The sequence below is a fragment of the Homo sapiens genome, chromosome 9 (assembly GCF_000001405.40).
Source record: "Homo sapiens chromosome 9, GRCh38.p14 Primary Assembly".
In the NCBI taxonomy this organism is placed as follows: Eukaryota; Metazoa; Chordata; class Mammalia; order Primates; family Hominidae; genus Homo; species Homo sapiens.
Genome location: NC_000009.12, coordinates 110,035,456 through 110,058,432, shown reverse-complemented (window position 1 = coordinate 110,058,432; position 22,977 = coordinate 110,035,456). Strand labels below are relative to the sequence as shown.

Here is a 22,977-nt window from a genome sequence, read left to right as displayed (position 1 = left end):
GGATTGGGAATGGGAGGGAATGTTGCCTTGTAGCACCCTCAATGGTGGGTACTCAGTACATGCTTAGAAACTTTTCCACTGCATCCCTGATATTATTGTTTGAGAGTCTGACACTCTCAAAACTCTAATGGAAATCTTTCATGCTTCAGTTTAAGCTCTTTTTCTCTTTTCAAGTCCCAATAAAAATATTCCCATTTGCATAGCACACTGCAATTTGTATCAACTCCTTTAAGATCTACTTCCTAGAGATTTGCATACATCTGAGGCTACGAAACATATCTACAGGATGTGAATTCTACATCTAGACAATTAGACCAGGGTTTTTCAACATTGGCACCATTGATATTTTGTGCAGGATAATTCTTTGTTGGTGGAAGGGGGTGTCCTGTGTGTTATAGAGCGTTTAGCTGCATCCCTGGTCTCTACCCATCAGATTCTAGTAGCACCCTTCCTCCCTCACTGAGATAGACCAATGTTTCGGGTCCAGTCCATGGATTCAAGTCCTGAGTCTTGGCCAGGATGCATAGTTGTAATTGTCAGACTTTCCTCCTCTAAGCAGAGCTTCCTCACACAGTAACATGCTCAGGACTCATTAGGGATTTTGCTAAAATGCAGATTCTGATTAAGTAGGTCTGGGATGGGGCTCAGGATACTCTAGTTTTAACACGCTCCTGGATGACAGGAATGCTGCAGGTCCCCAGACCACACTTGGAGTAGCAAGCCCCTACAGCACTGGTTTAGTAAGAAAAGGAGAGGGCTGGGCGTGGTGGCTCACACCTGTAATCCCAGCACTTTGGGAGGCCGAGGCAGGCGGATCATGAGGTCAGGAGATGGAGACCACCCTGGCTAACACAGTGAAACCCCGTCTCTACTAAAAATACAAGAAATTAGCCGGGCGTGGTGGCACGCGCCTGTAGACACAGCTACTCAGGAAGTTGAGGCAGGAAAATCGCTTGAACCGGGGAGGCAGAGGTTGCAGTGAGCTGAGATGGCGCCACTGCACTCCAGCATGGCAGAGCGAGTCTCTGTTGCAAAAAAAAAAACAAAAAAACAAAAAAAAAAAAAACAGAGAAGGAGCTGGGTAGGAAAACTGACCTGACATTATGTAGCTGTGGGACCCCTGGATGGTTATGTGACTTCCAAATGTCTCAGTATCTCCATTTGAAAAATGCTGGTGACTATAAAGATTAAGTAAAATAGTGTAGGTAGGAGTTCAAGGTTGCAGTAAGCTATGATCACACCACTGCACTCCATCTGGGTGACACGGAGAGACCCTGTCTCTAAAAAAGTGGAGGTAAAGCAACCAACTTACCAGCCGACACTCAAGAAATATTAATTCCCTCCCACTTAGCTCCTCCTACCATCCTGCCTGGGAACCGCAAGGACAAGGCGTCCCTGGGAATTACAGGGAATTCCCTAGAAGGTAAAACTTAGTTCCTCTATGAATGGTGAGTGGAAAGGGAACGATCTCTTCTCTTTTCATTCCTCTATCTCAACACCCTCTACGCCACTCACACTATAACACCTGTCATCCTTTGGAGGCTATAGATGGTTTTGATAATGAAACATACCATAAAAATAATACTTAAAATGATATACACATTGTGATTCCATTCAAAAGCAATGCCTCCCACTCTTGAGTCCATCTCTGCCCTGCATTTAACACTGATCTGAACTATTCTTTGAAGGAAAAATGATTCCAAACAGGAATCATCAAGTGCTTTGGATATGATCTAAGTTTCCAAATACAGTCTGTTCATTTTTTCCCCCAAAATGAATAAATTCTGCTCATCTGTAATGTGTCTGAGGAAAATTCTTGCTAACCTTTGCAAGTATAAAATGTTCTGATGCAAAATACTAATAGGCCAAGCTAAAATATGGCTTTAGAATCACACAGCACATGGCACATGGACTCCACCTTGATTTTAATTCACGCACACAGAGTGCCTTTCAATTAGGGTTGAAAAGTACTTGAATTTTCTGGAATATTAACTAAGATTTATTCCTTTGGGAAAGTCATTCCTCCAACCCACCCAAATAAAAATGGCTAAACAATGATGTCTTTCTCCATTTGTAGGCGGTATCAAAAAACTTATGGGAGGCACCACTCCAGACAAAGTAAGATGCTATATTATCCCACCATGGGAATGACATCACGGTAATGTAAGCTGACGCAGTCAGCTGCACTGGGAGGCGGGCTGAAAACGGTCAGTTAACCACTGCCAGGAAAATGTGGTTTGGCCTTCCTCACACCTTCTACACACACCTCACCAGGTGGGAGCTCAGGAGGACTCTGGATGAGCTATGCATTAAGGCTGAAGTCAGGCAACTGTTGGGCGGGAAGAGGGGCAAATGAGGGTCCCTCCCTGCCCCCTACTGGGTGACGGCATGGCACCTTTCATGGGTCTGCAGGACCAGTCTCAGCTACTGAAAAAGTCTAGCTCAGTCCTAGCCCCACAGGTTTCCCACAAACGCCCTGGAAAGAGCCATGGAGTTTGGATAGGATGGCCACCTGAGGAATCCTCTCTCTTGCTGGAACTTGCTGTGGTATGGTGGCAGTTACATATGCACACTCTTCTAACTCATAAAAGACTAAAAACTAAAGAGTCCTGACAAAATTATCTTCGAAACCCTACACTCAACCAACCCAGGGCACTCCAGGCACAGTGGGGAAACTTCTAGTTCAGCCCTTTCTGACAACCCTGGAAAAACTGCCCTAGCATCACTGTTTATCCATACTCTGCACAATGAGAATCCTTTCCAGGGTCCCTGCTAGGGTCTGAATGTTTGTGTCTCCCTAAAATTCATATTTTGAAGACTAATTCCCAATACAATGGAATGAGGAGGTGGGTCCTCTGGGAGGTGATTAGGTCGTAAGCGTAGAACACTAATGAATAGGAGTAGTGCCCTTGCCTTTTCACCAAAAGAGGCCCCTTCCCCAGGCGTGGTGGCTCATGCCTGTAATCCCAACATTTTGGGATTGCCCAAGGTGGGCAGATCACCTGAGGTCAGGAATTTGAGACCAGCCTGGACAACATGTGAAACCTCACCTCTACTAAAAATACAAAAATTAGCCGGGCACAGTGGCACACGCCTGTAATCCCAGCTACTCAGGAGGCTGAGGCAGGAGAATGGCTTAAACCCAGGAGGTGGAGGTTGCTGTGAGCTGAGATTGCGCCACTGCACTCCAGCCTGGGCAACAAGAGCAAAACTCTGTCTCAAAAAATAAATAAATAAATAAATAAAAATTTAAAAAAAAAAACTAAAAAACTAGGATTATGGTTCTGAAAATTGCGGTCCATTGTCCCAATGAAGACCAATTCCTGAATTACTCAAAGCTTAAAGAAGGATCAACTAATGAAAAATAGAAGAATTCTCAATAGTGCAAGTGCTTCAGGGGTGAGAATGGCAGCTGGCGGGTAGGGGCGGGGGGCAGTCAGGCTTAGAGAATTTCCATGTTCAAAGCTACTTAATCAGTGTGAAGGATGAACAATTGATCTGCTGCACAATTGCTAGCATTTTAAGTGTTAACTTTAGGCCAGCACATGGCGGCTCATGCCTGTTATCCCAGCACTTTGGGAATGTAATTGTGGAACTGCTTGGGAGGCCGAGGTGGGAGGACTGCTTGAGCCCCGAAGTTCAAGACCAGCTTGGTCGATGTAGTGAGACCCTGTCTCTACAAACAATAGAAAAACAGCCAGGCATGGTGGCATGCACCTGTAGTCCCAGCTACTCAAGAGGCTGAGACAAGAGGATCACTTGAGCCCAGAAGTTCGAGACTGCAGTGAGCTATGATCACACAACTGCACTCCAGCCTGGGTGACAGAGTGAGACCCTGTTTCAAAAAATAATAATAAAAATAATTAATTTAAAAACTATTTACTTATCATTTGCATCTGTAATGAAGATGAAAGAAGGCTTTGGTTAATTTAAGAACAACCAACTTTAGGAGGAATACATGTACAAGGTGCTTCCATAACCATCTGATTTTACACAAGTTTTGAACAGGTAGGTTTTGGTATTTTTTTTTTTTGAAACAGAGTTTCACTCTTGTTGCCCAGGCTGGAGTGCAATGGCACCATGTCGGCCCACCGCAACCTCTGCCTCCTGGGTTCAAGCGATCCTCCTGCCTCAGCCTCCTGAGTAGCTGAGATTACAGGCATGCGCCACCACACCCGGCTAATTTTATATTTTTAGTAGAGACCGGGTTTCTCCATGTTGGTCAGGTTGGTCTCGAACTCCCGACCTCAGGTGATTCACCCACCTCGGCCTCCCAAAGTGCTGGGATTATAGGCGTGAGCCACCATGCCCAGCCTGGTATCTCCATTTTTATAGATGAATGAACTAAGATTTTGTTTATGTGACAGACCAAGATCTCACAGAGAACTTGGCTGAGGCACTAGGGTGCTTTGGCCATGCCCTGGTTCTGGATAAAGGGCGCACCACAATATCTGCGTATTTGGCCTTGCCACCCCATCTGCTCCAATCAGGCATCAAAAACAACCACAAAGCCCCTGCCCATATCTAAGAAAAAAGAAGGGTTCAAAGCATAGTGGCCTTCCCCAGTAAGTTCCACAGGTCTCTCTCCTTCCCTGGCATTCATGTCACACCCCCTTCAACGAGTTCATGCATCCTTCCAAGGCTTAGAAGAAAAAACAAACAAAAAACCCAACCCCTCAAACCTACTCAAAAGAAGCTACATCATCTCATCTTCATATCCAACCTCTGCCTGGTTAAGGACCCCAGCAGCAGCATTCTGCCTCCACAGGGCACCTTCTCCAGTTGCACGGCCTATGCGGGGCACTCTGAAACTGTCACCAAGATGGGAACAAATTCCCGTTACATGTCTCTTTTTTTCTTTTTCTTTCTTTCTTTCTTTTTTTCTTTTTTTTTTTTTTTTTTTTTGAGACAGAGTTCTTGCTCTGTCACCAGGCTGGAGTGCAGTGGCTCCATCTCGGCTCACTGCAACCTCTGCCTCCCAGGCTCAATCAATTCTCCTACCTCAGCCTCTCGAGTAGCTGGGATTACAGGCACCTGCCACCACACCTGGCTAATTTTTGTATTCTTTTAGTAGAGGCAGGGTTTCACCATGTTGGCCAGGCTGGTCTCCAAATCCTGACCTCAAGTGATTCACCTGCCTCAGCCTCCCAAAGTGCCAGGATTACAGGTGTAAGCCACCGCGCCTGGCGCAGTTACATGTCTCTTGATCCTACTCAAACTTGTCCCCACAAGGACTGGTAGCCCTGGTCCTCCTAGATGGGAGACAGGAGCACGAAAGGGAAAAGGAGGCGAGGGCAGCCTGAGTATGTTCTCAGTCTCTTTCCCTCATGCTCTGTCTTCTCCAGCCCCTCCTCAATCTCAGAATCCACCTCAACAGGAAAAAGGAACCCACCACCAAACCCTGGAGAAAGTATATTCTGTTTTATTGTAGAAAGAAAAGAGAGACTCGATCCTTTTCTTTTCTGGCACTTAACTTTCAAGAAAATGGGGCAAATGACAGAAATTAAGTTTATACTGGAGGTTTCAGTTTTCTAAAAAGCTAGCCTCCAGAGTCTGCCCTGCAGGAGTTCCACAATTACAGTTCCATAATCCTATAAAATTACAACTCACATCTATGCTAATATGCTGAGACCACCACAAAATCCCGAACTGTCAATGGAATGACAACAGCACATTCACCACCAGTCAACCCATCAAGGCAAGAAGACGGAATAGCTAACCAGGGGTTACATCTTAGAAACACTTTCATTAACAATGGGTGAAATACATTTTTAAAACTTAGATTTAAATATCAGGTGTTATGTTACTTGAAGTACCCCATTTCTTTAATACTCTAATCAAATACTACTTAAAATCACATAGACAAACTCAGTAACTTTCTCTCTGAGCCAAATGGTAGATTTTCCTTTTAGAATAGAGATGGTTTTAACTTTCCTATAATATATTCATGAAAAATGTGTTTGAAAGGAAAATGTCCAAATTGTGAACAGTAGTCTTACATGTTCATAGAGGGGATTATTTTACAAAGTAAGATATACATGTATATGGATTACCTTAACTCCCATCATGGTCCATGGTAACATTCTTCCCTGAGGCCCAAGCTACCCGAAGTGCTGCTGGGTGAGGCTCATGCCAATGAGAGAAACTGAAGTTGAAGTTGTTCCTTTATTTTTAGCTTTACAGAAATTCTGCCTCTGGGTGTTGAGTTTGCACAGTATAAAGAAAATGGTGGGCCGGGCATGATGGCTCATGCCTGTAATCCCAGCATTTTGGGAGGCCGAGGCGGGCAGATCACGAGGTCAGGAGATCGAGATCATCCTAGCTAACATGGTGAAACCCTGTCTCTACTAAAAATACAAAAAATTAGCTGGGCGTGGTGGTGGGCACCTGTAGTCTCAGCTATTTGGGAGGCTGAGGCAGGAGAATGATGTGAACCGGGGAAGCGGAGCTTGCAGTGAGCCGAGATCGCGCCACTGCATTCCAGCCCAAGCAACAGAGAAAGACTCCATTTCAAAAAAAAAAAAAAGGGTGCAATTTGCTACCCAAACTTACTGAAATTGTTGAAGCTCATCAAGATACTAATCAATTACTTCAAACTTCCAATAGCTGACACAGAATCCCTGATCAACAATCTAAGCAGTGAGTACTATGTTTCTTAAGATCAAAAAACAATCATTCCAAAAGCTGATTCAAGATACAGCATCAATTCTACTGGCGTTGAGTCATGTATAAAGCTAAAGACTGGAACTAAACAGTCTATCCTTGGTCTTCAGAAGTAACTTTTTAGCATGCTCCTGTTTCAACTGTTAAAATCCCTCAACACAACCTCCATCCAAATTCAATTTCATCTTCATTTGAAACATTTCTCATTACCTTAATAAGCAGAGACTGGTAATAACCGTGACAGAAATCTGGGACATGGGTATTTTAAGAGCTCACCAAATCCGTAATGGTTATTGTTTGGATTATTGTAATTATCTAGACAATAATTACAATGACTAGAAAGACCAAAGTGTTTGCATTTTTGGAAGTAATATTTAATGTTAGTTCTATAAGAAAATATTCAAACTTTCAGAAATAAAGCCAGTGGATTCATTCTCCCTTCATTTGACAACGAAGTTAAGACAACCTACTTCACTTTATTAGCCAGAGGTCCTGAGGCTACTGAGTCAGAATAAGCCACTTATGAAAGTGAAATAACTTCAGACTCTGCAGGCAGGAAGTGGTGCCAACTGTCATGCCAGAACTATGAGATAATGAGTATTTCAAAATGTTTGTCCCATCTCAAAGCCCAGCTATTCCTCTCATCCTAGCATCTCAGCATCCCAGAAAGAAAGTGAAATGAACTCTCCAGCAGAGTTGGTTAAGTAAAGACTGGGAGACAGGCAGCCTTACTTTTGTTGTCCCTGGCTCAGGACTAATTTTGTTGGTGCTGTCCAAGATAATTGCAGGAAACTTGGTGTGCCTCCACTCAAAGGAGAAGATGCCCTTTAAGGAAAGGGCCAGGCCGGGTGTGGTGGCTCATGCCTGTAATCCCAGCACTTTGGGAGGCCGAGGCAGGTGAATCACCTAAGGTCAGGAGTTCAAGACCAGCCTGGCCAACATGGCAAAACCCCATCTCTACTAAAAATATAAAAATTAGCCGGGTGTGGTGGTGGGTGCCTGTAATCCCAGGTATTCGGGAGGCTGATGCAGGAGAATTGCTTGAACCCATGAGGTAGAGGTTGTAGTGAGCCAAGATCATGCCATTGCACTCCAGCCTGGGCAACAAGAGCAAAACTTCGAAAGAAAAGAAAAGAAAAAAAAAGAAAAGAAAAGAAAAACAGAGAAAGGGCCAAGGGTCAAAACTGGGGAGGAGACAACCGGCAGCGGAGCATTGCTTAAAACACTCTTTAGGCCAAGTCTTTATGTTTAAAGAAACAGAGTAAAACTCCTTGCTGGATACTCCTCATTTCTAGACATATTATTATGAAATTGTATTCATGAATGTTGGGGAAGCTGCCAGACTGGAAGAAAGGGAAGCTTAGTTAAATTTAAATTAAGAACATTTCCAGAAAGAAAAGTGTGATGCTTAAATGAACTCTAATCAGAACAAAAGACAAGGAAGCAAATTCCCTGGGATCCCAATGGTGAGAGGAGTTTGTATTCATGCAGTCTCCAGGAGCCTGTGAAACGGGAGTTGGGATAGAAGAGCGCTTCCCGGGAGACATGGGCTTGTTCACAGATTCCAAGATGCAATACAGAGAGAGGTGTATAGACGTATGAGTAGGTGAAGTTTCTTTTCAAAAAGAAATATTATACATTTAGGAAGTCTTCCCAAATCACCTGTGCTGCATTTAAAACTGCTACGGGGAAGGGTAGTGATATGTCAAAGTCTGATCTGACCACGCAGCCTATCAGAGCCAAACCCATGCTACCCCACACGGGAAACGGGCTTTCCTGGGTCTGGAAAGGGAATCCACCATCTCTCTAAACGAGTCACCTCCCAGACGCCCTCTTTGTGGGTCAGGAGGGATCCCTCAGGCTGGCGAGCGCCTGGCATCCGCGTTGGAGAGCTCGGCAGCCCGGCTGCACGCCGCCTCGCCCTTTGCCTTCAGTCCTCACCCGGCCACCAGCGCCACAGCTCCCTGCTGCGGGCTTCCGGCTCTCCCGGGCTCCGTTTTACTCCCCTCCTATCCACTCCGTTTCTCTGGGATTTCTTGGGGCCACCAGTGTCTCCTTGCTCTGGTTCTTGCAGGCGCGTCGCCTCCACGGACATTACAGGTACGGCTTGCCCAGTGCTCTCCCCCACGGTCTGCTCTTCCCATACCCCAGAGTGTCCCCAAGAAGGGCCCACAGAGACGCAAACTCCGGCTTTATCTCGGATAAGATACCACATTCTAACTGCTGAGGTCCCAGCCTCAGGCCAAACTTCTGGCTCAGCTCGGACCCGGACCGCGTTCTCCCTCCCAGGGCAGAAGAGGCTGCTGGCTCCTCCTGCATCATCTCCTGAGTTCAGCTCCCTGGACCCTATCCCGAAAGACTCTGGCTGGGGCCGGGACCGGGGCCGGGGCCCGGCCCTCCCTGACTTCAGTCTCTCTGAAAAGTTCAGGACTTGCGAAAATGCCCCCGGCTCTGCCACCCAAAAGGCAGGACCCGCGCCTTCCTCGCGAGCTAGAAGGAACGGCTGCACCTCCCGGTGCTCCCGGGGCAGGAGATGCGGCCACGACCACATTTGATTTCACTGCTTTTCCTGAAAAGGACACACAGCCCAGCTCTGTGTGTATACAGGGAGAAGCGGAGTCCTGCGTTTAGTTTTTAAAGCATATATAAATGATAAGCATTGAACAAAGCAGCCAAAGGCTTGGCCCTCCCACAAACCTAGGAATTCAAATCCACATGGCCACAGCCCCTCCACCCGGGCCCTCTCCCAGCACACGCTCCGCTCGACAAGGACCACAAAAAGCCCTTTAAAAGCCCGCGGTGCTTCCGAGGACTCCCAGATTTCCAGCCCTTCCTCGGCAACCCCTTCCTCGGCCACCCCTTCCTCACACTCGAGGACACTCCAGCCCCTCCCCTCCCCAGCTTGGACACCCACCTCTGGGCGCCCGCTCCCGGGGGCGCAGTCCTGGGGTTCTGCTCCAGTCCAGCGCCGCGCGGCCGCTGCCTCCCGCTCCGGGGGTCCAGGAGACTCCGGGGGTCCAGGAGACTCCGGGGGAAGGCGAGCGGCAGCCCCGGGCTGGGGCCAGCGCATCTGCAGGGAGTGGTAGCCTCCGGGCGCGCTGGAGGGCGGGGAGCCCCGCCCGCCTGCTCCTGGGGCCCGCCCCTTCCCCGCCTCCTCGCTTCCCCTCCAGTAGCCCAGCGCCCACGGACCGCCCCTCCCTCCCCTCCCCTCCCCATCTACCCACACCTTCTCCTCTCAGTGGCTTCGGCGGAATCGATGCACAAACGAAGAAATGAATGAATGCAGAGACTGGAGAGAGGGAAAGACGGAGGGATGGATGGGGCGGGCAAAGCTGAGTGTTTCCTAACTCAGGGGAGCGCTGTGTCTGGGTATATGGATACTTGTTAGCGCACGGGGCTTTGGAGCGGGGTGGCGTGTCGCTGTGTGTGCATGTGGACGTGTGTGTTGGTGTACACATATGTGCGCATGAGCGTATGTGGAAGTGTGTGAGTGCCTGTGTGCGCTCAAATGCCAGGAGCCGCTGAGTTCCCACTCAGGCGGGGAAACAGCCCCTCGTCCCTTACCTAGCACCACGACTGTCCTCAGGGTCAGAGCGACTCCCGGAACTGGTTGCGAAGTGCGTCTTTGTGGCAGTAATGGTGTCTCCGCGTGTTTGAGGACTCCCCCGATGGGGTTCAGAGGCTGAGGTGTGGACAGAGATGCTTCCAGCTCACTGGCTCGCCAGAGCCTTCCTGCTGCCCTCCGTGTAGTGGCAGCCGGTGGCCCGGTGTCAGAGCGCGTGTGCTAACAAAGCCAGCGGAGGGGAAGGAGGCAGCTGATCCGCAGACTGGGGCTGTATTAGGCGGGTGGCCAGCCATCCCTCACTCTTGAGATGTCTGAAATTTCAGTCTCTCATCCCCTCCTCCACCATGAATATTTAAATAATGTTAATGACCCTTTGAAAATGAACCGTCTAGAAATCCTGAGAGAGGACAGGCACACACAAACAAACACCCCACCTAGAGAGCAACACTTTCAAAAGCAAGCTGTGGTCTTACTCTGCTGTAGGTGGCCGCATTCATTCTCAGCAGAGGAAGATCACAAAAGTCAGATTTCTTGAATTCAGCTTTGCCCTAGGCACGATTTTCCCAGTAATTCTCTCTCCCCAGCTTTGCAAGTCGCCCTTGCACTCTCAGTTAGGTTTCCACCCTAGGGCAGTCTGCTATTTTCCCCACTCCTTGACAAGGCCCTGGGATGCTCTTCTGGGAGTCAATTTTACATGTGAAACACAGCAGGGAAAGACAATAGCCATGGCCTGATTCTACTTTCCTAACCCACAAAGGTCCCTGATTTCCAATACAAAGAAATGATACCCTTGGGAACTACCCAGAAAGCCCATCCAGGCCAAGGGCACCATAAATAGCACCTTCAGAGAAAAGACTTCTTCCCTGCCTTGAGCGCTATTCACACTTTCACCCAAGGAAGAGGATGAAGTCTACAATGGGACATCAGCTGTTCTCAGGGTTCCTGAATGTCAATAGCCTCCTTTATCTTGGTATTTGGAAATGGTTTCACGATCCTTTTTGCCTGTTTGTCTCTTATACTATTGAATTTCAATAGAATTTACTGACCAGTGGTTAGAGATGCCAGAGCTTCAGCCTTGACTCAACTTTTTCTTCCTTCCTTCCTTTTCCTTCTTTTCTTTCTTCCTTTTCATTTTTTTCTCCTCATGTCTCCGATTTAAGGAATTAAATGCTTGGATGCCCTACATACTGATCTATTTTTAACATTTTAATATCATGTGAAAAACTCACATTAAAATGAGTGTGCTTGGATATCACTTATTTATTTATATGGACCATAGACTCTCTAAGGAAGAATTTTAGAATTACATCAGATGTGAGATGTTATAAACAATATCATGGCAGGTACTTCATCACTCCCTTCTCATATTTTCCTAAATTAGAATAAGTGTAAAATTTACAAACAAAATTAGTTTCATTATTAGAAACAGTAAAGCAAGGCCGGGTGAAGTGGCTCACGCCTGTAATCCCAGCACTTTGGGAGGCCGAGGTGGGCGGATCATCTGAGGTCGGGAGTTTGAGACCAGCCTGACCAACATAGAGAAACCTCGTCTCTACTAAAAATACAAAATTAGCCAAGCGTGGTGGCGCATGCCTTCAATCCCAGCTACTCAGGAGGGTGAGACAGGAGAATTGTTTGAACGTGGGAGGCAGAGGTTGCAGTGAGCCGAGATCGTGCCATTGCACTCCAGCCTGGGCAACAAGAGCGAAACTCCGTCTCAAAAAAAAAAAAAAAAAAAAAGTAAAGCAATCATACCAACTTTATTCTGAATTGCTTCTTTACTAAAACAACGTCAATGCTTTGTTAATATTAATTTTAAAGTTCTAGAATATTCTTCAGAAAACTATTAGGAATATTAATTTAGGAAAAATATATGCTTAATAGATATTAATTTATAAGAACATTTTCTTCCACCTTCCAAATTATTAAAGAGGTAGCCATGATTAAACATTTTTAATATAAAAGGCTTGGTACATACCAGATGCTCAGAAATAGTTGTTTAATTTGTTCAATGAAATCCATGCAAGAGTATGAATGGCTGCATGCAAAAGTAAACACTGTTTTTAATTAACATTTTCTCATTTATTTTCTCCTAGGCCAGTGGTTCCCAATTGAGGGTGATTGAACTCCCCAGGGGACATTTTGGCAATGTCTAGAGACATTTCTTATTGTCACGATTAGGGGGGTTGCTACTGGCATCTACAGGACAGCGCCCCACCAACAAAGAATTATTGAGCCCTAAATGTCAGTAATGCTGAGGTTGAGATATCTTGCCCCAGAATTTTTCGAAGCCAGTACTAAAGACCACAGATAGTGCTTGTTAAAAAGGCAGATTCCGGCAGGGTGTGGTAGCTCATGCCTGTAATCCCAGCACTTTGGGAGTCCGAGGTGGGTGGATCACGAGGTCAGGAGTTCAAGACCAGCCTGGCCAAGATGGTGAAACCCCATCTCAACTAAAAACCTACAAAAATTAGCCAGACGTGGTGGCAGAAGCCTGTAATCCCAGCTACTCAGGAGGCTGAGGCAGGAGAATCGCTTGAACACGGGCGGCAGAGATTGCAGTGAGCCGAGATTGCACCACTGCACTCCAGCCTGGGCGACAGAGAGAGACTGCATCAAAAAAAAAGAGAAAGAAAAAAGAAAGGCAGATTCCTGGGCTCCACCTTTATTGAATCAGAATGTGTGGGGCAGGGCCAAGGAAACTGCGTTAACAGCTCCCAGATGATTCTTAAAAACATGAAAGTTTGGGAAACACTGGCAATGGGCAAGGTTAGCTTTATCACCCACTGCCTGCTTGTGGTTCATCACATCATACGTGTGTTAACATAATAATGATTATTAGAGCTGAGAATATTTTATAATAAAAGAAGCATATTTACTCTCCTAGATGTATTTTAGGAGCATATTTGAATAAAATAAATGGCTATTAATTATGTGAGAGAAATATAACTCGAACGTGTAAATGTTACATGTTCCCACAGGCCCTATACCATCAAGGGCACAAAATCTTCCATGGAAATTTTTTTAGGGGGAGAGGAGATGAAGATTTCTTTCACTGTGGCCTAAGTGTACATTTTTACTCACTTTGCCTCTCCCATGCTGCTGGCCCACTTTAAACTACACCCCTGAGCCAGGGGACCCAAGAAGTAGAATGTTCTTTCTAGAAAAACACACAAAGTAAAGAACAGCTTTCTGGGGAGGAAGTTAGCCTAGATACAGGTTGAGAGAAGCTCTTCTCCCTCTCTCCCCAAACTGAGCAAAATGAACTAAATCCAGCAAATAATAATGGTCTAGCAGTAGACACATGCCCCCAAACTTAGAGAACAGTAGAAGCTGAAAAATAGACTTAGAAGTGTCTCAGAGAACTGATCTGAAAACCAGAAGGTGGGGGCAAGACAGTGCATCATAAAAGGGAATTTACTATTTCCTCCTCCTAGCAAGGCGAAAGACCAAAAAGTATCAGCTGGGAGTAATTCACAAGTGCTAAATATGTCCTACAGAAAATAAAAGTTGGCTGAAAATTTAAAAAAAAAAAAAAGTAAGAAAAAGAGGGAAGGCCGGGTGTGGTGGCACGCCTGTAATCCCAACACTTTGGGAGGCCGAAGCGGGTGGATCACCTGAGGTCAGTAGTTTGAGACCAGCCTGGCCAACATGGTGCAACCCCGTCTCTACTAAAAATACAAAAATTAGCTGGGTGTGGTGACAGGTGCCTGTAATCCCAGCTACTTGGGAGGCTGAGGCAGGAGAATCACTTGAACCCTGGAGGCAGAAGTTGTAGTGAGCTGAGATCAGGCCACTACACTTCAGCCTGGGCGACAGAGGGAGACTTCATCTCAAAAAAAAAAAAAAAAAAAAAAAAAGAAAGAAAGAAAAAGAAAAAGCAGGAAAAGCAAACAACAACAGAAACAAAAAGACTCGCTCACACTAAACAAATAGCTCTATGTCCCTGGGGCTTTCCCACCAAACAGTGGGTGACCTCACTGAAAAGCTAGCAGTAATCCCAAGCCCAGGGGGATCCTCATGGGATCAGATGCACCACTGAAAATTTCAGAGAAGAAACAAACTGGGGGAAATATTTGCAACATATATGACAATGAGTTACTACTCCTCATATGTGAAGAGTTTTTGCAAATCAATAAGAAAATTGAAGAAAACTACCAACTCCTTAATAGAAAAAACAAACCTGGGCTGGATGTGGTGGCTCACACCTGTAATCCCAACACTTTGGGAAGCCAAGGTGGGAGGATGACTTGAGCCCAGAAATTTGAGACCAGCCTGGGCAACATGGTGAGACCCCATCTCTACAAAAAATTAAAAAATGAGCGGGGTGTGGTGACATGCTTGTGATCCCAGCTGCTTGGGAGGCTGAGATGGGAGGATTGCTTGGACCCAGGAGGTCAAGGCTACAGTTAGCCATGATCGTGCCACTGCACTCCAGCAGGGTGACAGAGTGAGAGACTGTCTCCAAAAAAAAAAAAAAAAAAAAAACACCAAAAAAAACGTAGTTTACAGATAAATAAGTAAAAATGACCCTTGAACTTGTGAAGAGATACTCAAACTCTTCATAATTAAAAAAGTGCAAGTAAAATATTGGACTAATTTTTTTTTGCCTACAATATGAGTAAATATATAAAATACAAATATGTATTTTTGGCAAGGGAATGATGAAAATCAAGTGATTATACTTTATTGATGGGCATACAGATTGATAATAAATTGGTAAATCTGAAAGATAATTTGGTGATAACTCTAGAGATAGAAAATGTTTATACACTTGCACCTGCAATTCATTTTTGGAATTCAGAAGTTTACAAAATCTCTCAAATTGGATGAAAGACCAGAGTGGTGGGGAGGAGTCAGTAAACAAGAAATTCCAGATCACAGAGAGGGCCAAAAGAAAATATTTAATATACACTTTTAAAGTTGTTTGAGTGTTATGTTGTGATGTAAACACTTCTTGTAACCCCCTATACTTCTGATAACAGCATTTGAAAACTGGGACACCAAAGGGAAGGAAGGGGTTTATGTGTGAGTTGGTGTGGGGTGAAGACCAGGCATAGGAGGCAAAATGGATGTAACAAGTAAGAATTCAGAGGATGAACTCACGAAGATAGAGGGTAGAAGGGTGGTTATCAGAGGCTGGGAAAGGTAGCAGGGAGGCAGAGGAGTAGGGATGATTAATGGATACCAAAAAATAGAAAGAATGAATAAGACCTAGTATTTGCTAGGACAACAGGGTGACCACAGTCAAAAATAATTTAATTGTACATTTAAAAATAACTAAATCTATAATTGGGTTGTTTGTAACACAAAAGAAAAATACTGGGGAGGTGATGGATGCCCAATTTACTCTGATGTAATTATTTATACATTACATGCCACCTACTATGTACCCACAAAAATTAAAAAAGAATTTTAAAAAAATAATTCAGAAGAAATAGGAAATCAGAACAACAAGAGTCTAGGAGAACTAACCCCAACCCATTGTGCCTCAAGATAAAAATCCATAAAAATAGTGGGGTGAGCATCAGACAACCTCCAATACTATGTTGGTAGGAGTGTAAGCAGGAGGACATGGGATATTTAGTCAATTAATTCCTAGAATCCACAAAGATCATTTGCTTACTCTAGCTCAACTAGTGGTTTTACACCATCCATATGGATGATTTGTATGTTTACGGATTTCCAAAGTAAGACATTTCTCACTGATCTCTGGTTCTTACTTAATGGCAAAAAGGTCATCTCTGGATTAAGCATCATTGGCTTTTCTGTAGCAGGCATGATCCATCCATAGACTTACTGCCAGGCTGGAGTGCAATGGCACAATCTCGGCTCACCAAAACCTCCACCTCCTGGATTCAAGCAATTCTCCTCCCTCAGCCTCCCAAGTAGCTGGGATTATAGGCACACACCACCATGCCCAGCTAATTTTGCATTCTTAGTAGAGACCGGGTTTCTCCATGTTGATCAGGCTGGTCTCAAACTCCCAACCTCAGGTGATCTGCAAGCTTCGGCCTCCCAAAGTGCTGAGATTACAGGCCTGAGCCACCGCATCCGGCCCCCATAGACTATTTTAACCATCAACTTTCGGAATGCACATCCAAGACTGGCATATGTTAGTCTATGGTCTTGTTTGCATTGACTTATAGTTGTGTTTTATACAATTAAAAACACCCTTCTAAACCATCTCTTCTCCAAGGGGTTGACCTCTCCCTAAGATAAGGTGGTCAGCTTTTAAGATGTTATAAATTAGTTGTTTCCAAGTTGGCTTACATTGGGAGTAGCTGGAAAACAAGAAAAGAAAATTTCCAGGTTCCTTTCTCTAGGTGATCCAGAGCACAGGAATCTGTGTTTGCTTAAGCTTTCCATCTGATTCTGTGACAGCCTGATTTGGGAACCACCGGAGGTGGACACAGTCGCCCTTACTTGAAGAAAGGACAGAGAACCAAACACAGAAACAGGGATGGTGTCATAAGAGAACACTTGGCTCTCAGACTGTGTTTACTGTGGTTCTTAGCCTAGTTTGTGGTTCCTGCTTTTCCTTTATTTCCTCTCCAGGGTCTCTGGCTTCCTGTGCCCAAGTAAGTTTCTTTCCTGCCTGTTCCACATTTATTTCCTTTCCCTGCATCCTCGCACTTGGCCTCTCCTCCGCCAAACCCTTAAACATAAGGAAATGGTGACCTGATTATATTCACCGCAGCTGCTTGAGCCTCTTTAAAAGACATTTTAAAACACCCATAAGAAACATTCCAAAACCCAAGCAACATTTCCCCATGGAATTGTTTACACTGTGTTCCAGACTGTAGCTGGGCTGTGCCTTCTCGACATTGACATAACATTGTACCACCCAAATTGCCCATTGTAATATACATGTAAATGGCACCAGTATACTAATAAAAAAAAAAAACACTATTCAAAACTAAAATCTTCAACAACAAAAAAGCAGCATGGGAAGACCTGTGTTGGAAAGAGTGAAAAGTGGGTATCTATGTAGGAGAAACACAGAGTTGGGAAATGAGAAAGAGCCCAGAGGACAGAGTCCCCTGGTGAAGAAAGCAAGATGGCACCTTGATTCCAGAGGCCTCAAATCTTGTGGAATAATGACATGAATGTAGCCATGTATCACTTTGATAATAAACAGGAGCAAAGTCCTATGAGGTCCAAGTTCTTTGGTTCTTGGCTGAGACTTTTATCTCATTTAGCAACTGAAGCATTTAAAAAATCTAGTAAACACTCCAGAGTTCATGCTGTAATAGAGAGACAGCATACAACAAGGTACTCTTTAAGCATGGCACTGAAAACATAAAATATGCCTAATATACTTGGAATGTACACAGCTTGTTCACAGATAGAATGCTGGAAAACAGTGCCAATAGTGTGGAGTCCCAGAAGACAGCTCTTACTGAGTCAACCAAGCGAATTTCTTCTCATTAGGGACCTGTGTTTTAGATGCAAATGTATTTTTCTTTTCCAGTGGTGCTTAACTTCTTTTCAATTTTGGATAAAACAGGAAATTATTTCTTAGTTTTTGTTAAAAAAAATACGACTGTAACATTTTCCTAGTAATTTGCAAGTGTTTCCCTCAGAACTTTTAAGCACAGGCTGTTAATTTAAGGGAAGAACCATAAGATTTTCCAGTCATATTAGGGGGAAAAAGACCAAATCTTGAGATTTTAAGTTTTAAGAATTCTGATTCTCTCAGAGATAGTCTTTGCGGTAGTCTTGATTTGCTTGTCAAATGTTTTAGTATTGAGAACTATCCACTGAGAAATGGGCTTTTTCCTTCTAGTATACTGAACATATTAAATGGCTTTCCTAGCATTAACGTAAACTTCACTGAAGATGATGGGACAATATTATGAAGGCATATTATGTTTATATACACAGAATAAATTAATTACTTCTCTAAGTAACTATTACGATTATAAGGTGTTAAGATCATTTAAATACGGAGAATAATAATAGCTTCTATAGCATATTAAAAGCCTCTGTTGGATTGGGACCATGGCCAACATAAAATCACTTTAGAAACCACAATAGCTTATAATACAATCAACTAAAGTACCTATACCCATATTGTTTTTGAAGATTTTCCAACTCATTAAGTAAATACCTTCTTTATAGCTCCCTCTCCCTCTCCTCTCTTCTCCTCTCCTTCCTTCCTTCATTTGTACTTCCTTTCTTTGTATTCTCCTGTCTTCCTTCCTTCTCTCCTTCCTTCATTCCTTCCTTCCCTCCCTCCCTTCCTTCCTTTTCTTGTTAGACCACTGCCTAGTTAATTTTAGGAGCAAGCATTGCAAACTCAAATACCTTAGGAAGCCAGACAGATAACATAAATGAGTAAAGCTGCCAGGTATCAGAAACAGTTTGTGATTCCCACAGAGGGCTCAGGCGTTGATGAGTCCAAGTGCTGACTGCTAAGCAATTCATAGAGTGGTTGAGATGAGATAGGTGAGCACCTAGACGAGAACTGTGGGTTCAGATAGGTGCTGCTGCTGCTGCTGCTGCTACTATGTTTGACTTCGGAATTTTCTTTACATGCTTGGGATGGGTGAAGGCATATCAAAATGTTAGAGACATGAAAGTTAGAACTAGGAGGAAAGTTACATGTTGCCCAAGCCATTTTTCTCATTTTACGGTATAGCAAAATGTCAGTAAAAAACAGAGAGCCAGAAGACCTGGATTGGAATCCTGACCTGTCACTTACTGGCTATGTGACCTTAGGAAAATCGCTCAGCCTCGCCATCCCTCCCTTCTTATCTCCTCTAGGACATTGTTCCAGCAATTTTATCCTTCCCAAAACATGAATTTTCTTTCACTTTATCAAATATGCTGTGATTTCTTCTATCAAAAAAAATTTTTCTTGTGCTCACAGTTAATAATACTGTACTAAATGAACACTTTAAGAGGATAGATTGTATATTATGAATTTTCTTTTTAAAATTATTTATTTATTGAGAGAGGGTCTCACTCTGTCACTATGGCTGGAGTGCAGTAGCATGATCATGGCTCACTGCAGCCTCAACTTCCTGGGCTCGAGTGATCCTCCCACCTCAGCCTCCTGCGTAGCTGGGTCTATAGGCATGTGCCAGCATGCCTGGCTAATTTTTGTATCTTTTGTAGAGACAAGCTTTCCCCATGTTGCACAGGCTGGTCTTGAACTCCTGGGCTCAAGCAATTCCCCGCCTTGGCTTCTCAAATTGCTGGTTTACCACACCAGGCCAACGTTATTAGTGTTTTCTAGGACAATAATTTTTTTTTTTTTTTTTGAGACCGAGTTTTGCTCTTGTTGCCAGGCTGGAGTGGCACAATCGCGGCTCACTGCAACCTCTGCCTCCCACGTTCAAGCAATTCTCCTGCCTCAGCCTCCCAAGTAGCTGGGATTACAAGCGCCCTCCACCAGGCCCAGGTAATTTTTTTGTATTTTTAGTAGAGACGGGGTTTCACCATGTTGGACAGGCCAGTCTCGAACTCCTGACCTCAGGTGATCTGCCCACCTCAGCCTCCCAAAGTCCTAGGATTACAGGTATGAGCCGCCATGCCCAGCCTACAATAATTTTTTTAAGAGAAATTCTCTTGATCCTACCACCTCAATTCCCTGTTTCCCCTCAAAGCAAAAGTTCTTAAAAGAGATGTTTTTTTCACCAAGACAGCACTTGTCAAAGTCATCAGTGACCTTGAGGTTGCCAAACCCAGTGGTCATTTCTCCAAACTCACCCGACCTGATCTTTCACCAGGATTTAACACAGGCCATCAGTCAGTCAGTCACATTTAAACTGCTTTCTTCATTTGGCTTTCACAACTGTTTCTTGATTCTCCTCAGTGCTCTCTGACCTTTTTGTTTTTTGTTTGTTTGTTTGTTTGTTTGTTTGTTTTTGAGACAGGGTCACTCTGTCACCCAGGCTGGAGTGCAATGGTATAATGACAGCTTACTGCAGCCTTGACCTGCCGGGCTCAAGCAATCCTCCCACCTCAGCCTTGGATGACAGGTGTGTGCTGCCTCACCTGGCTAATTTTTTTGTTCTTTGTAGAGAGGGAGGTCTTGCTATGCTGCCCAGGCCAGTCTCAAACACCTGGGCTCAAGCGATCCTGCCACCTTGAGGGCCTTCCAAAGTGCTAGGATTATAGGCATGAGCGACTGTGCCCAGTCTCACTGACCATTCTTTCTTAGTCCTCTTTTAAGGTTCGTTCTCATTTTACAAATCTTTAATTTGGGATGAGCAATGACTTGGGCTTGATCCCTTCTATCCCTCAGGCCATTCTCTCTGTGATCTCATCCAGTCAATGGCTGTGCACAGGTGAATCCCAAATTTATATGTCAGCTTATTTTCTCCATGGAACTCCAGACTCATACTTAACCTCTCCACGGGATGCCTAGAAGGCATTTTTAAATTAACAAGTATATTGCAAATTCTTAATTTCCTCTCAAAACCTGCTCCTCCTATAGTCTTGCCTACCTTGTTAAAGACAGGTCATCCTTTTAGCCCTAACCAAATCATCCCATATTCTACAGCATTCTGATTTTTCTCCAGAGCATTAATCACCATCTTTCATATGATAGTATTTACTTGCTTGTTTCTTGTCTATCTCACCCTACTGAAGTGTAATCTACATAAGTACAAGACCTGGTCTCTTTTGTTAATTTCTAGATGCCTAGAGCTTGGCATAGAGTAGGTGCTCATTAAATATTTGTTGTTGAAGCCGGGTGCGGTGGCTCACGCCTGTAATCCCAGCACTTTGGTAGGCCAAGGTGGGTGGATTACCTGAGGTCGGGAGTTCGAGACCAGCCTAACCAACGTGGAGTAACCCCGTCCCTACTAAAAATACAAAATTAGCTGGGCGTGGTGGCGCATGTCTGTAATCCCAGCTACTCGGGAGGCTGAGGCAGGAGAATTGCTTGAACCCAGGAGGCAGAGGTTGTGGTTGCGGTGAGCTGAGATCGTGCCATTGCACTCCAGCCTGGGCAACAAGAGTGAAACTCTGTTTCAAAAAAACAAACAACAAAAAATATTTGTTGGAAAAAAAAAAAGGAAAGTCCCCATGTTCATGTAGCTTACAACCTAATATGGCATGGACAATGAGGTAAGAAAAACAATAAGCAAGAGAAGAATGTCATAGATAACAGGAAAGAAAATAAAAGGCCAATTGAATTCACTCATGCAGATACATGAAATGTATTTTGTGTCAGGAGGCGGTAATTGTTATAAAGAAAAATAAAACAGGGTAAAGGGATAGATATTGATGGCAGTAGGAGGTGAGTACTATTTTATGTAATGGTCAAGAACAGACTCTTTACTGAGGTGATATTTGAGCAGAGACCTGGAGAATGGAAGGAAGTGAGCCAGGGAGACATCAAGGGGAAAAGCATTCGAGCATAGGGAACAGCAGGTGTGGGGACACTGAGCAATCATGTTTGGAGCAGCCAGGAGGACTTCAGAGCTGAGAAAGGAGGGGTGAGAGAAGACTGGCAGTGAGCCAGATCCTAAGGTCCTTGCAAACCTTGATAAGCACTTTGGATTACCTATTTTCCTGAATAAGATGAGAAGCCACTGCATTATTTCAAGCAGAAAAATGACTTGATTTGGTTTAGATTTTTATAACATCACTGTGGCTGTTTCTGGGTGGAGTCTGTGTTACAGAAAGGGAAAGGAGTGGCCGGGAGAGCACTTAGAAGCTATTGTAATAATCTGGGCAAGAGATGATAATGGCTGAAAGCAGAATGGTAATGGTGGAGTGGTGACATCAATGGTGAAATCAGATTCCAGACATAATTGGAAGTGGAAGCTGCACCAGGCACATGACACATGGCACAAAGCATTGCCCTCAGAAGGCATTCAACACATAATTATCAGATGCATGCCCAAATACTTCTTATTTTCATTACAATAAAGTGTTCTTATTAACGGGTTCAAAAAAACTCCCACTTGATCAGGGTTTCTAGGAAGTTTCTTTTAAAAAAACAAAGCACAGGGCCTGGTGCAGTGGCTCACGCCTGTAATCCCAGCACTTTGGGAGGCCAAGGCGGGTGGATCACGAGGTCAGGAGATTGAGACCATCCTAGCTAACACGGTGAAACCCAGTATCTACTAAAAATACCAAAAAAACTAGCCGGGCGTGGTGGTGGGTGCCTGTACTCTCGGGAGGCTCAGGCAGGAGAATGGCATGAACCCGGGAGGTGGAGCTTGCAGTGAGCTGAGATCACGCCACTGCACTTGAGCCTGGGCGACAGAGCAAGACTCCATCTCAACAATAACAAAAAAAAGTACCAACTCACCAAAACAATATATATATCATATATATGTTATATATAACACACAACATATCATATATGTTATATATAACACACAACATATCATATATATTATATATAACACACAACATATCATATATATGTTACATATAACACACAACATATCCTATATATGTTACATATAACATACAACATATCCTATATATGTTATATATAACACACAACATATCCTATATATGTTATATATAACACACAACATATCCTATATATGTTATATATAACACACAACATATCCTATATATGTTATATATAACACACAACATATCCTATATATGTTATATATAACACACAACATATCCTATATATGTTATATATAACACAACATATCCTATATATGTTATATATAACACACAACATATCCTATATATGTTATATATAACACACAACATATCATATATATGTTATATATAACACACAACATATCATATATATACATATA

The 22,977-nt window shown here is 44.0% G+C and overlaps 1 protein-coding gene across 15 annotated transcripts in view, besides 6 other annotated features; it reads right to left on the bottom strand.

Annotated features, from left to right (window-relative positions):
* The window catches only part of PALM2AKAP2 (PALM2 and AKAP2 fusion), a 531,726-nt gene that overhangs the window by 114,080 nt on the left and 394,669 nt on the right, over window positions 1-22,977 (bottom strand). For 3 of the 15 annotated variants that reach the window (NM_001198656.1, NM_001004065.4, XM_047423421.1), the window contains exon 1: window positions 9,578-9,835. The exons of the other annotated variants lie outside the window; for them this stretch is intronic. In NM_001198656.1, the coding sequence (NP_001185585.1) occupies window positions 9,578-9,733 (156 nt within the window). In that variant the 5' untranslated portion in view covers window positions 9,734-9,835. Of the gene's footprint in view, window positions 1-9,577; window positions 9,836-22,977 lie in introns of those variants that run through there. 15 annotated transcript variants of the gene reach the window in all.
* Window positions 9,079-9,218: a silencer, noted in NCBI's record as "silent region_20171". NCBI's record gives its function as "represses an Ori minimal core promoter by ATAC-STARR-seq in GM12878 lymphoblastoid cells {active_cell/tissue: GM12878}" and the evidence as "EXISTENCE:reporter gene assay evidence [ECO:0000049][PMID:35858748]".
* Window positions 9,309-9,368: a silencer, noted in NCBI's record as "silent region_20170". NCBI's record gives its function as "represses an Ori minimal core promoter by ATAC-STARR-seq in GM12878 lymphoblastoid cells {active_cell/tissue: GM12878}" and the evidence as "EXISTENCE:reporter gene assay evidence [ECO:0000049][PMID:35858748]".
* Window positions 9,499-9,938: a silencer, noted in NCBI's record as "silent region_20169". NCBI's record gives its function as "represses an Ori minimal core promoter by ATAC-STARR-seq in GM12878 lymphoblastoid cells {active_cell/tissue: GM12878}" and the evidence as "EXISTENCE:reporter gene assay evidence [ECO:0000049][PMID:35858748]".
* Window positions 9,499-10,217: a biological region, named in NCBI's record as "H3K27ac-H3K4me1 hESC enhancer GRCh37_chr9:112810496-112811069".
* Window positions 9,644-10,217: an enhancer, noted in NCBI's record as "H3K27ac-H3K4me1 hESC enhancer chr9:112810496-112811069 (GRCh37/hg19 assembly coordinates)". NCBI's record gives its function as "activates a minimal SCP1, AML or CMV promoter by ChIP-STARR-seq in primed H9 embryonic stem cells {active_cell/tissue: H9 hESC(primed)}" and the evidence as "EXISTENCE:reporter gene assay evidence [ECO:0000049][PMID:30033119]".
* Window positions 10,791-11,365: an enhancer, noted in NCBI's record as "NANOG-H3K27ac-H3K4me1 hESC enhancer chr9:112809348-112809922 (GRCh37/hg19 assembly coordinates)". NCBI's record gives its function as "activates a minimal SCP1, AML or CMV promoter by ChIP-STARR-seq in naive H9 embryonic stem cells {active_cell/tissue: H9 hESC(naive)}" and the evidence as "EXISTENCE:reporter gene assay evidence [ECO:0000049][PMID:30033119]".